The sequence below is a fragment of the Homo sapiens genome, chromosome 17 (assembly GCF_000001405.40).
Source record: "Homo sapiens chromosome 17, GRCh38.p14 Primary Assembly".
NCBI classification, from domain to species: domain Eukaryota; kingdom Metazoa; phylum Chordata; class Mammalia; order Primates; family Hominidae; genus Homo; species Homo sapiens.
In genome coordinates, this window is record NC_000017.11 from 32,655,637 (window position 1) to 32,668,127 (window position 12,491).

A 12,491-nucleotide genomic window follows, 5' to 3' on the forward strand; every position below is an offset into this window, starting at 1 on the left:
AGGAGCAGTGTAAGGAGCTGGGAGAGTCAGGGTCAGAATCCACAAAGCCATGAGACCATGATGAGGACTTTGGCCTTTCCTCTGAATGAGATGAGAAGCCATCGGAAGGTTTGGAACAAAGATGGGACATGACCTGACTCATGCTTTAAAAGGGTCATTGTGGTTGCTATAGGCTGGGAACAGGAAGACCTGTTAGATGGCTATTTCCGAAACACACATGCTAGAGTAAGGTGGCTTGGATCAGGGAGGTGGAGGTGGAGGTGGAGGTAAGTGTTGGTTCTGCATATTTCTGAAGGAAGAACAAACAGAATTTGACAATGGATTAGATGTGGGGGCCAGAGAGGATTTAAGGATGACTCCAAAATTTTTTGGCTAAGCAACTGAAAGCTTAAACCAAAAATAACCTGTTCCTGATTGGGAAAAAACAGGTACAAGTTCTCTTATGCGCTTGGCGGCACCCTAGCCCTGCACGATGCTTATATCCTCTCTTCTGCCACAGGAGCTTGAAGTACGGAGGTTGGAAGCAAACAGAGAACTTCCTTTTGATCAGACGAATAATCAAGGCCGGCTGTTCTCAAACTTGTTTCCATAGAATGAGATTTAACTAAAATGGAAAATTCCCACTGAAATAACCAAATAAATATAAAAATAAGGAAACATTTATAACAACACCAGAAAATGGGAATGTCAATAAAGTAGAAAGTGTAATGACTTTCTGGAAGACACAAAGCAGATGGGATCCAGCTGATGGGGAAGCGGCTCACTCAGGGCAGTGCACTCTACTCAGTGGAAGGAGAAAACCCCTCAGAGGGATAGATGAGAATCCTGAAGCCTGAAGTGGCAGGGACTGGTAGCAAGGGCAGGAGATGAAGGATTTTAAGGTGAAAGCTGTGCCTGTTCCCTGCACATGGAATGGCTGGCTGCAGTGAGGCAGGCCACATGTTGGTCAGAGATAGTAGGTTGCCAAAGCAACAACCATGAAGAAGTCATGGCTCAGTAGAATAGTGGAATCCTTTCTTTACTTCCTATGGACAACCAACACTCCAACAAGACAGACTGTCCTAAGATCATTCCAGAAGAGACTAAAAGAGTGACAGACTTAGAGCAGTTGGTGGTCAAAGTCAAGGACGCTGTGACAGGTGGGTCTTACAATACTCAGTGGCTTCCTAAGCAACTTCTCGAATCAGCCCTTGATCTCCAAATTTCATGACTGGTGGAGAGACATCTTTGCTCTGTCTACTGGTCTGTTTCCAGTCTACAAACCTGGTCAGCCTGTCCTGTCTTCACTGCCCACAGTGGCTCAGGACAAGGTCTGTCCCTGACTGACTCCAAAGGCCACAGAAGCACACTGGGGGATTCAGGACCTGACCTATACAACCATGGAGAAAGCCACCCATGCTTCTCATCCTAATCAAGCAAACTGCTGTCTATAAATACGTGTAGCCAACAACAGCTGCAGCCATAAAAATCACCAGCCTCAATGACATGAAAAGGGGACAAAGCCAGGCATGGAGAAAGCTCAATTAAAAAGAATTACTGTGAAGAACAGGAGTGAACTGAAACATGATTAGATGCACATTGAGATTTTAGAAAAACAAACATAAGAATGTTACAATCACAGTAGAATTCTTTAATACATCTCTCTCTGTATTCCACAGATCAAAAAATTCCTGATAGTGCCTAGATCAGGGGTTGGCAAACTATAGCCTGTGCCAAATCTGGCCAATGGTCTGTCTTGGTACTGCCCACAAGCTAAGAATAGTTTTTACATTTTTACATGTTTACCAAAACCAAAACAAAGAAGAATATGTGACAGAGACCATCTGTAGCCTACAAAGCCTAAAATACTTAATATCTGGCTCTTTCAGAAAAAGTTTGCAGAACCCTGGACTAGATGGACACAACTGGCAAGATTCAGTGTGTGTGCGCGTGCGAGTGTGCTTGTGTGCACGCACGTGTGCGTATACAGAACAAATGTAGCAGACCTGTTAGTTTCAAATGCCATTGATTATAAGGCCTGGGAAGGCTGGGACTGTCTTTCACATCTTTCTTGTTTGTCACCATATCCCTGAAACCTAGGTCAGTGCCTGCAACACAGCAGACATTCAGTAAGTATTTGCTGAATGAGTACATTGAATTTTGTACAAAACAATCAATTCTAGACCACAAGTAAAACCTCAAAATCTAAATAGAAGACTGTATAGGCTGTAGTGCAATCTAATCAAAATCAATAACAATCTCCTGCAGCTCTTAAAATCTTACACAGATCTTTATTGGTATGGACAGATCTTCAAGACTTATTTTTGAGTAAAGTCATATAGCCATACATATAATCTTATCTGTGTAAAAAAGGGGAAAAAAATGCTCAAATCATATGTGACTACGTAAAAAGCCTGCCAAGATTGAAAACTAATTATTTATAGTACTATATCTGAGAACTGAAGGTTGAGGTACTTTTGTTTTCAATAATTCTGTATTTTTTCTTCTTATGAGCAATTATTTCTTTTTTTAAAAAAGCATATGAGATATATATTAAAGAGTTTTCTTCCATGCATTTTTCTTTATCTTTTGATACCTTCCATCAATTATATTTCAAGCAAAATCTAAAGAAGATAACATCTGATTTAGCACAGAATTATACATTAGTTCTTGTACATTCAGCATATCAATTAGTTCAAAGTGTTCTTTATGGAGTATCATGATAAAATGACTATATTTGAGAAGAAGTAGCTTAGTTTATGTGACTAGATGGCTGTATCTAAGACAGAACTAAATATATCTGGTGTATACTGGCAATAAATAAGCTCAAAAAGCAAGGAGAAAGGACTTGGAATAACTACACACTCAGATCCAGGGCAGGTTATAAAAAAATAAAGACCAGTTGGAAAGGTACCAAATTTTACTTGGGTTTTTATTTATTTAAAAGACAGCTCGCTCTAAAAACAGTTATTTTCCCCTTTGGCTGCACTTTAAAATCACGTGGGAAACTTTAAAAAAGGACCTCTGCCTGGGCCCCACCCCTCCAGCGCCATTAAACAGGACTCTCTGGTGGTAGGACCTGGGTGCTGGCATATTTCCTAAACTCCTTGTTATTCTAAGGTGCAGCAGAATTGAGAACCACTGCTTTGAAAGGATTAATGGATTTTCTAGTTTGAGTTATGCGTGGTGGTTTTATTTTTAGCTAATAAAAGTAAGTAGAAACAGCATGCTAGTAGCTTATCTTAACTATGGCTTGTGTCCAGGGGTTGTGGCACATTGCTGTCAGCTGCTACAGGAAAAACAAATTGGCAGTTCCTTTATTTTGAGGGGTAAGCAGATGCTCTTTGAAAGCCAAATCTACAAAACTGAAAACATAAGGTAAAGGTAAATGTCATAACAGCAAATAGCTGAGTCAATATCACGGTCTCAGACTTGTGACTTTGCATAGTATTAACTGTGCCACCATAAATGGATGCAGCACACAGCAGCACGTTCTTACCTATTGAAAATCGTCTGCAGGGCCTCCTCAAAACGGCGAAGAACTTTAGGAGGGCTTGGCCACTTCACGTGCTTCCCGTAGTCTCGCATGGTCTTGACGCCATGGAAGCGTCTGGCCACCTCGTGGATGTACGACTTCACTTTGTAGCGCCGGTAGTACCTGATTATTGTCAGAGCTGCCTTGGTTCTTTTGTACCGCATGCGGGCCAGGGTGCCCCGCCACACCTTCACAATAGAGAAAGAAAAAGGAAAACGTTATTGACCGGCTGAGTTGTGGATGGCTTTGATATTATAGCAGCTCCTCTACTTACAAACTCAACCAGGCAACTTGCAAGTGTGCACAAAAATCAGCCAGAGCCAAAGCATGTCAGTTCCACCTGCCACCAACAGATGGCGTGGGGAGTCACATCAGTCATTTTGTTTCAGCTGTCTAGCTGCTCATTATTCTACACTGAAGTGTGTGCTGAGCCTGAAGCTGAGTCCTGTTTTAACTCTACTGTCATGAAAAGAAGAAAGCCAAAATGCAAATATCTTTGGATAAATATTTTAGGAATGCTGAAGGGAAGCGAGATGAGTCAGAACATCATGCCATAAGCATCTATAGTTTTCTTGTGAAACCTAACTTTACATAGATTATACATGCTGGCCACTGGTGTAACGCCACTTTGGATTTACAAACTGATTTACACACAGCCTGTGCACCTCCTCTCCCGCGGCACTATGTAAACTCTCAAAGATTCATGGGTAAAGGGTAAATCAGATTACGTACTAATATCCTGTGAATCTTTGTTAAAAGTTTTTCAGTGCTCACAAATCAATGACACTATATAAACGCCTCAATGCCAACTTCATCCAAGCATGGTAAAGTCAGAGATACTTATTTTTTTTCAGGATCCTTTGTCAGGTACCCATATTTCTCAACTTCTCAAGCAAAAACAAATTTGGTGCGATCTTCAATTAATCACTGGCTCTTCCCCTGTATATCCTCTCCACCACCACTTTACTCCTTCTTCCACAATATGGAAGTGTAAACCCCTTTCTTTCCCTTTCTGCTACCAGTCTCCAAGATGCCAAACAACCCTAGTTGCTTTCTTCGATGAACTCCTTGTACACATCGCCATCATGCCCCAGTATATTTATTGCTGCTACTTAAATAACTGTTCCAACTCTTAGGTTGATTATATTATTTCCCTCCCTAGTCCCTGGCCTTTCAGAGCCAAGATTTTCAACCTCTAGTTCAAAGCCCACAGTATGGGTTCTGCAGACTCCCTCAGGTTTCTTTTATTTCTTCTTAAAAATCCCCGTCTGTGCCCACCAATTCCTCTAAGCAAAACTTGCACAATGCCTCATTTGACTCAGTTGTTTTAGGTTTGTCCTCATGCGGACTCCTAAAGTACACCATGTGCTTGCAGTGTTCTCCCTTTTCAGCCTGCTGCACGATACAGATTTGTTTGCACACTACGTGCAAGAAGATCATCAAGGGACCCCAATGGGTCAAGAAAAACCATAACATTTAAGGGAAACATGACACATGGGCAATTTGTGATGGTAACCTAGAGTTCACATATAAACAGAATGTTTAAAGACAATGAGGCAATAAAAACTAACTCGTCATCTCATGTGGCGTCAGTACAGCAGCCCTTTTTAGTCAAAATGGCTCCCTTCCTTGTAGCCAAATCCACTGTACAGATGGCTTTGTTACGCCTCCACCCAAGTGCAAAAATAAAGCTCCCTTCTTTAGCATCTTGAAAAGCCAAAAAAATACAATTACAGGGTGAAAGTATGTGATTTAATTTCTTAGACAAAACACATTTTTAAGTTTCCTACTGTTTGTTGCTTTTTTCTTTTATTGGGAGGAATTTAAGACTCCTTGGAGCCACATCTATAAAGGATATCAATCTTTAATTTTCAAGAAGTGTTTTATAGAGCTTCCTATTAGAATGTTTTTGGTTAGCTTCTTTAGCAAATTGAAAAAAACATTTTATAAGTAAGTACTTTTTAAGCAGTAATTTATTTCTTTTACAAGAAACCTACTTTATAAAGGGGGTCTTTTCTGACAACCTTTATAATTTCATCTGTGTTGGCTTATTTAGGTTTTTAATAGTTGAAAAAATGAAATAGCACAAAAATGCATATAAAAAAACACACTAGCCCTTCTCTTCATCCTTCTAAACCCACCTCCCTACCTCCAGTCTCAATCAACACAAACTATTTTAGATGCTTCTTCCATATTTACTGTCATATTTATAGATAATATGGCTAGGTGTGGTGGCTCATGCCTATAATCCTAGCACTTTAGGAGGTTGAGGTGGGAGGATCACTTGAGCCTAAGAGTTTGAAACCAGCATGGGCAACATGGTGAAACCCTGTCTCCATCAAAAATACAGAAAAATTAGCCATGTGTGGTGGTGTGCACCTGTAGTCCCAGCTTCTCAGGAGGCTTAGGTGGGAGGATTGCCTGAGTTCAGGAAGTTGAGGCTATAGTGAGCCAAGATTGCACCACTGTACTCCAGCCTGGGCGATGGAAGTGAGACCCTGTCCCAAAAAAAAAAAATACCCCCCCAAAAAACCACGTATATTATGATTTCTTGGTTGATCCTTTTAGACACTATCCAAATCACACAAGATGGAGATTTAGCTCTCTCACCATCATTCTTTCTTCTCATCTACCTTCCCAATCATAGTTAAAGTATGTTTACATTACCTATATTAACTCTATTATATATTGAATAATTTACATATGATATGTATATGTTATATTGCATTGTGTTATATATTACACATATATTTGGTTCATTGCTGTGCTAAGAAGTATGAATGTTCTTTCTTTATTGTGTGTATTTGTTTTTACCTATCATTAGTAACTGCCTTGTTTTTAAAATTTGCTTTATTTACTATAAACCTACTGCTAATTTTTGCCAAATGCTCTTACAGACCCATCAAATGATTAGCAGTAATTTTTTTACTTGTCAGGCACATTAACTGAATCTTTTTCTTTGATATTACCTGTATCCACTGAACAGTTCCCTATCCTGGGGCTTTTTAAACTACTCTTCCACGTTGGATCCGAGTTCTCCCCCACCGCCCCACGCCCAGTAGCTTTCAAGAAAAGGTGTATGGCCAATACATTTCTATTCTCTTAAGTTTCCTTGAAAGTAAAAAGCAGTTGTCTAAAATGTTGTCTGTTTCTTGAGTTATAAAAGCAGAGTAGTTGAGAACAAGCTCTGGACTCAGACTGCCTGTTTTCAAATCCTGGTCCCACTCTTAAGAGCTGCGCAGCGGGACGCGGTGGCTCACGCCTGTAATCTCGGCACTTTGGGAGGCCAAGGTGGGCGGATCACAAGGTCAGGAGTTCCAGACCAGCTTGGCCAACATGGTGAAACCCCGTCTCTACTAAAAAATACAAAAAATTAGGCAAGTGTGGTGGTGCGCGTCTGTAATTCCAGCTACTCGTGAGGCTGAGGCAGGAGAATCGCCTGAACCTGGGAAGGGGAGGCTGCAGTGAGCTGAGATCGCACCATTGCATTGCAGCCTGGGTGACAGAGCGAGACTGTCTCAAAAGAAAAAAAAAAAGAGCTGTGTAAACTTGGGCAAGCTTCCTTCTGTGCCTTAGTTTTCTTAGCTGTAAAATGGGGATAATAATGGTGCTTACCTTGTAGTGTTATGAGGATTAATGGAGTTAATACATACGCAACACTTAAAATAGTGCCTGGTGAGTAGTCAGTGCCCAATAAGCATAGGCTGTTATGACTATTTGAAAGTCTGTTCTTTATTTACCTTTAGTGGGTCGTGCTACTTTCTTTTCTTTTTTTTTTTTTTTTTGAGACAGGGTCTCACTCTGTCACCCAGGCGAGAGTGCAGTGGCGTGATCTTGGCTCACTGCAAGCTCCACCTCCTGGGTTCACGCCATTCTCCTGCCTCAGCCTCCTGAGTAGCTGGGACTATAGGCACCTGCCACCACGCCTGGCTAACTTTTTGTATTTTTAGTAGAGACGGGGTTTCACTGTGTTAGCCAGGATGGTCTCGATCTCCTGACCTTGTGATCCACCCGCCTTGGCTTCCCAAAGTGCTGGGATTACAGGTGTGAGCCACCGCACCCGGCAATTGTGCTACTTTCTTTTTTTGTATGTGCAGATTTTTTGCCTCCGTCACTTGTCAGTGTGACCTGAAAACTGTTTAGTAAATGTTAAGTCATTCTTTCTCAGTCTGCCATTTGCCCCCAAACAGTGCCTGATTTGATATTGTTTTATTCTTCCACCTATAACATGGACTGGTGTCCATGGTTTATACACCTTATCCAGTCATTCAGTTGCCTAAGAGGAGAGGAGAGCATGCAGGGGCTTTAAGTAACTGCTTTACTTCATTCTATGAAATAAATGCATCAGAGGTTTGCTTCAAATCTGGGTTGTATCATAGGCTTTTGGCTTGTTATGGGGCCAAGTGTTCCTTTTTCATGTCTAGTGGAGCTTTTCCTTGGTTCGGCTGTAATAATCATTGCTTGCAGAGGCTTTCCTCATTTTACACCCACTTATTGATATATCAGAGGCAGGAAAGATGGCAAACCTTGCCTACTCTTCTTGCTTGTGAAAGAAGTCTTCTTGATGAAAGAAAGGGTCCCCGATGAAGGTGTGGGGTATTCTAAGCCCTCCCTCTGGTACACCTTTATACTGAATGTAGCACCTTCAAAAGTAGTACGACTTTTCAGAATTTCCTCCTTGTACTTCTCCATGCTCCATTCTTCTCTTTGAAGAACATATCGATTTTTTAAAAGCATCTTCTTTCAATTTGGCCCAAGTTTTCTTTTTTTGGATGACACTTCTCAAAGTTGATGGTATGGAGTTGGAATCTTTTCTTGGTTTCGGGGTTGATGGCATGTTCTTTGTTATTTTTACATTTGATATTTGTTAATCTTACACAATTCTGTGGGAAGGAAATTTTGTGAACCTGCAGTTATATCACCAACTTTATGAGAAGTCCCTTAGGCTCTATTTTTTAACATCAAAGGACAAGCATTGAAAACTACAGAGGAAAATGATTTTACAGGAAAAAATGATTCATGCATTTTCCCTTATAATCTAAGCATATTTGGTTTAAATAGATACGCTTCCATAAAAGTTTGTGTGTATGTGTGGCAGGAGGGTTGTTGGTTGGTTTTCCCACCAAGGGTCTGCAGCTTTGGAATTTAAGGTATAAGACAGATTTTCCTGTTTTCTCTCTTTGTTTAAAGCAGCTTAAACTGTTGAGTTTGTTGAGTCATACAAAGCTTACGTTTGTAAAGGACTGTGCCTGATGACAAAGCCTCAGAAAGCAGAAAATTAAATGTTATATTAAAAAACAAGTGCTTAATACTTATTTGCATATGGCTGAGAGGTTCAACAAACAAGGGAGCCAAAAGGGGCCCTGCTTCAAACAATATTAACACAAAAGTAGAACCAGCCAGACGTTACATGCTTTAGGATATGAGGCCAGAGGAGTGGGAGCTGAAGGACACACACTGGGACCTGCGAGGTGAAGTCAGCAGAGGATATCGGGTAGAGAGCATACTGACAGAGGAGCAAGCAAGGGACCATTTCTCAGAAAAGAGGACAGCGGCAAACAGAGAGGCCTGCTGACAGGGAACGACTCAGGTATAAACAGAGAATGCTGGCATGGCGTTGCACACATCCTTGCAACTGAGGTGCCAATTCTCAACACAGCAGCCAGAGTGATCCTTTTAAGACCAAAGCCAGATCATGTCACTTCTCTGCTCAAACTCTGCAGTGGCTATTTCCCTGAGCAGAAAAGCCAAAGTCCTTCCTATAGCGTTCATGGCCCTATGTGGTCTGACACTGTCTCCTCCCCACCTCATCTCCCGCTGTCCTCTCCCCTGCTCGCTCCCGCCATACTGGCCTCCCTGCTGGACCCTACACAGGCCAGGCATCCTCTTGTCTCAGGGCTTTTGTGCTAGTTGCTCCCTCTGCCTGGAATAATCTGCTCCCAGCCATCAGATGGCTGACTTCCTCATTCTCTGCATCTTTGCTCAGTAGTCACCTTCCCAAGGGAGGCCAGCCCTGGCCTTCTGATTTAAAAGTTCAACTTGTCTCCACCTCCCCGCCCCCCGACCCGCCCAGCACTCTTAATTCTCCTTACCATGCTCTGCTTTTTCTTTTTCCCCCAGCACTCAATCCCTTCCAACATATCACGTAACTTACATATTATGGTGTTATTTATGCTCTCTCCCACTAGAATTTAAGGGCCACTAGGCTGGGGATCTTTGTCTGTTTTGCTCACTGATGTATTTCCACTGTTTGGAACAATGCCAAGGACCTAGTTAATAATATTTGCCGAATGAATGAATGTATTCTACTTCATCTTCCAAGTCTGATATTGAATCTTTCACTTCGGCTGTCACATTTTCCATCTTCAAGAGCTCATCCTTGCTCTTGTAATATTTCTTTTAAAAGCATGTTGCTCTTACTTTATGAATGCAACATCTCATCCCACCTCTGAGTATATAACTTATGGTTTTATTTTTTGCACTGTTCCTTGTATTGCACCTGTTACCTCTAAATCCCCAGTTTTCCTGTTTGTCTTAGTCTTGGCCTTGCCCAAGGCCTTCCTCAAATGTATAGGGATCGTTGGCCCTCCACTCTCACTGAAGGGTGAACAGCCCTTAGAAGCTCTGTATAAGTGCTTCATGGATGGGGAACTTCACTACAGGGTGATTAGGTTGGGAGTAGCCATCTGTGGGGAACCCCAGAATGTCAGGATCATGAAGTGTTTTCTCTTTCCTGCCAGAATCCTCAGAGTGAAGGGGTCTGGGGTGGGTGGTGGGGGGAATCTTACTCCTCAGTGTCTATACTTTCATTTAATATCCTTGGTCTCAATATGGTACCTGACCCCTCTCCTCCACTAAGCCTGGTGTCCCTAAGTTCAGAACTTCTCTAAATCCTGTTCAATTTACTCAGACAAGAAACTTCTTGCCATCTATCAGAATGAGGCTGAGGTAGTCCCTTAGCTTTGTGTGGTCTGGGGAGAGACCTAGTGTCTAATTCCTCTTTATATAGATTTTAACCAACCTCCTCTGTCAGGGCCACCCCTCATCCCTACCTACAGAGGCACCCAGTCCTTCCCAGTCTAGAATCTTTCTACAGCCCTACAGTCAGAACAAGGCAAACTGTCTTGCCTGTTTGCCTTGTTCTCTGCAGGCACTTGCCTGGGAGTAACGACTCATTTACTTACTTCTAAACTTATGCTGACACCTCTTGTCTTCTGTTGTTTCCACTATGGTACTATTTGTCCTCGTAGGTTTATCCAATTTTTATTCCTTTTCTGCTCTTTTCGAGATGTTAAGAGAGTGGATATAAACACAACTGTCATGTTTAACCAGATGTTTCATAATGCCATCTTAATTCTACCATTTTTTCTTCTGCTGCATACTTCTTCAGCAGTCAGACGTTTCAAAGCAACATCTAACAGTCATTAAACTTTGCAAAAAAAAGTAGGATTCTAGGTTGCACTCTATTAAGAAGTAGGGCAATTATGTATCTTCCGTTTCGTCTCAGAATCAAACACAGGTCAGCTTTCCTTTTTTTCTCCTAGTTCCCCATGTTTTGTTTTGTTTTGTTTTTCAAAATTCTAGTCATTATGGGCATTGGGGGCTCTTTCTGTCTTGTTGTCAATATAAATCACTACTTCACAGCTCCCTGGTACTCTGAATTAGACATTCTCTTGGTTTCCACAAACAGAATTGTTCAACATTTCAGCTCCTAGCTTCTCAGGTCCTCCATGCCTAAGGACAATTTTTAGAAGCATCTTTCTTCCATTTCTATCTTTAAGTTCCCCCTATGGGGATCTTCGAGATGTCCATATTGAGATGAGTCTACATAATGGGGAACTTTGAGAGTCCACATTGAGATAAGTCTACATAACCCATATGGTTATTTGGGCAGAGTTCTGACACCTTACGGTTGTTAAAAAGTTGTGGTAGAGGAGGGTTTATTTATGTAAATAATGAACTCTCGTTGAATGAACTCTGAGCAAATTATAAATATACAAAATTTGGTATGGACACATTCCATCAAATTTAGAATATGACAGTCACATTCAATTTAGGATATTTCATGATTGACTGATGAAGGGTGTGGCTCTAAGAGCTATTTTAAAGGAAGACTCAGAGACAGAAAAATCTTTCTGAATTATTCCTCTTCCATTTCTATAAGGGACAAAATGAATAAAGACTTGATATGCTATTTTTAAAATGCTGGTGCTCATGTTTTTACCGGACTAGCAGGTTAATATGTAACAAGAAGAAAATATAATCCAGTGAATATAATTTATAGGCTATTAGCTTAATTCCTGACACAAAATTCCTTCGTTTTACAGATAAATTAATAATATTTTGGAAGACATACGATAAATCTAAGACACAAAAGAACCAAATCTTTAGTCAATAAACAAATGTAAAAATCATTAAAATGAAGAGCCACACACACACAAAAAGTACATGTGAGTCTGATCATTACAAGCCGTCCTGATGAACTTAACTATTGCAGGTGGTGGTATTGGTATGTGCTTGGTGGAACATAATTTAGAAGTGACCACCCCTGAGCTGTCTTACCTTGGTCTGGGAGACTAACTTGCCGAGTTAATTGACCCATGAACCTTCGTTTAGGACATGCCCATTTTATATATATGGCCTTGTCCAGATTCATTAACCTTGCAATTCTTTAGTGCACACAATTGCTGCCTATTAATGATTTCTTCACTATGATGATGACATGATCTGACAGCCTCCTTATAACTGTAACTTCAAGAAGTAATTGAACCTTTTGGTCAATTACTATCAGAAGAACAGCCCAATATCAACACTATTGAAACCCAAATCGCAATTATTTTGCAGACAAATGAAAATAAAATTACTCCAGATAATAGGTTAAGTAACTCTGACAGATTTTCCAGGATTCAATCTTGTAAACACTCTGTGGAGCTGTAGGAAAGTGACTGCTTTCTTTTGTTTGGTTTTGTTTTCTTAA

General features: G+C 40.9%; 1 protein-coding gene across 5 annotated transcripts in view; it reads right to left on the reverse strand.

The window, feature by feature from the left end:
- Nucleotides 1-12,491, reverse strand: part of MYO1D (myosin ID) — a 384,603-nt gene that overhangs the window by 163,115 nt on the left and 208,997 nt on the right. For all 5 annotated transcript variants that reach the window (XR_001752521.3, NM_015194.3, NM_001411088.1 and 2 more), the window contains one exon: nt 3,479-3,702. Coding sequence is in view for 4 of the 5 variants with exons in the window: in NM_015194.3 (NP_056009.1) it covers nt 3,479-3,702 (224 nt within the window). In the remaining variant the exon portion in view is untranslated. The remainder of the gene's footprint in view (nt 1-3,478; nt 3,703-12,491) is intronic.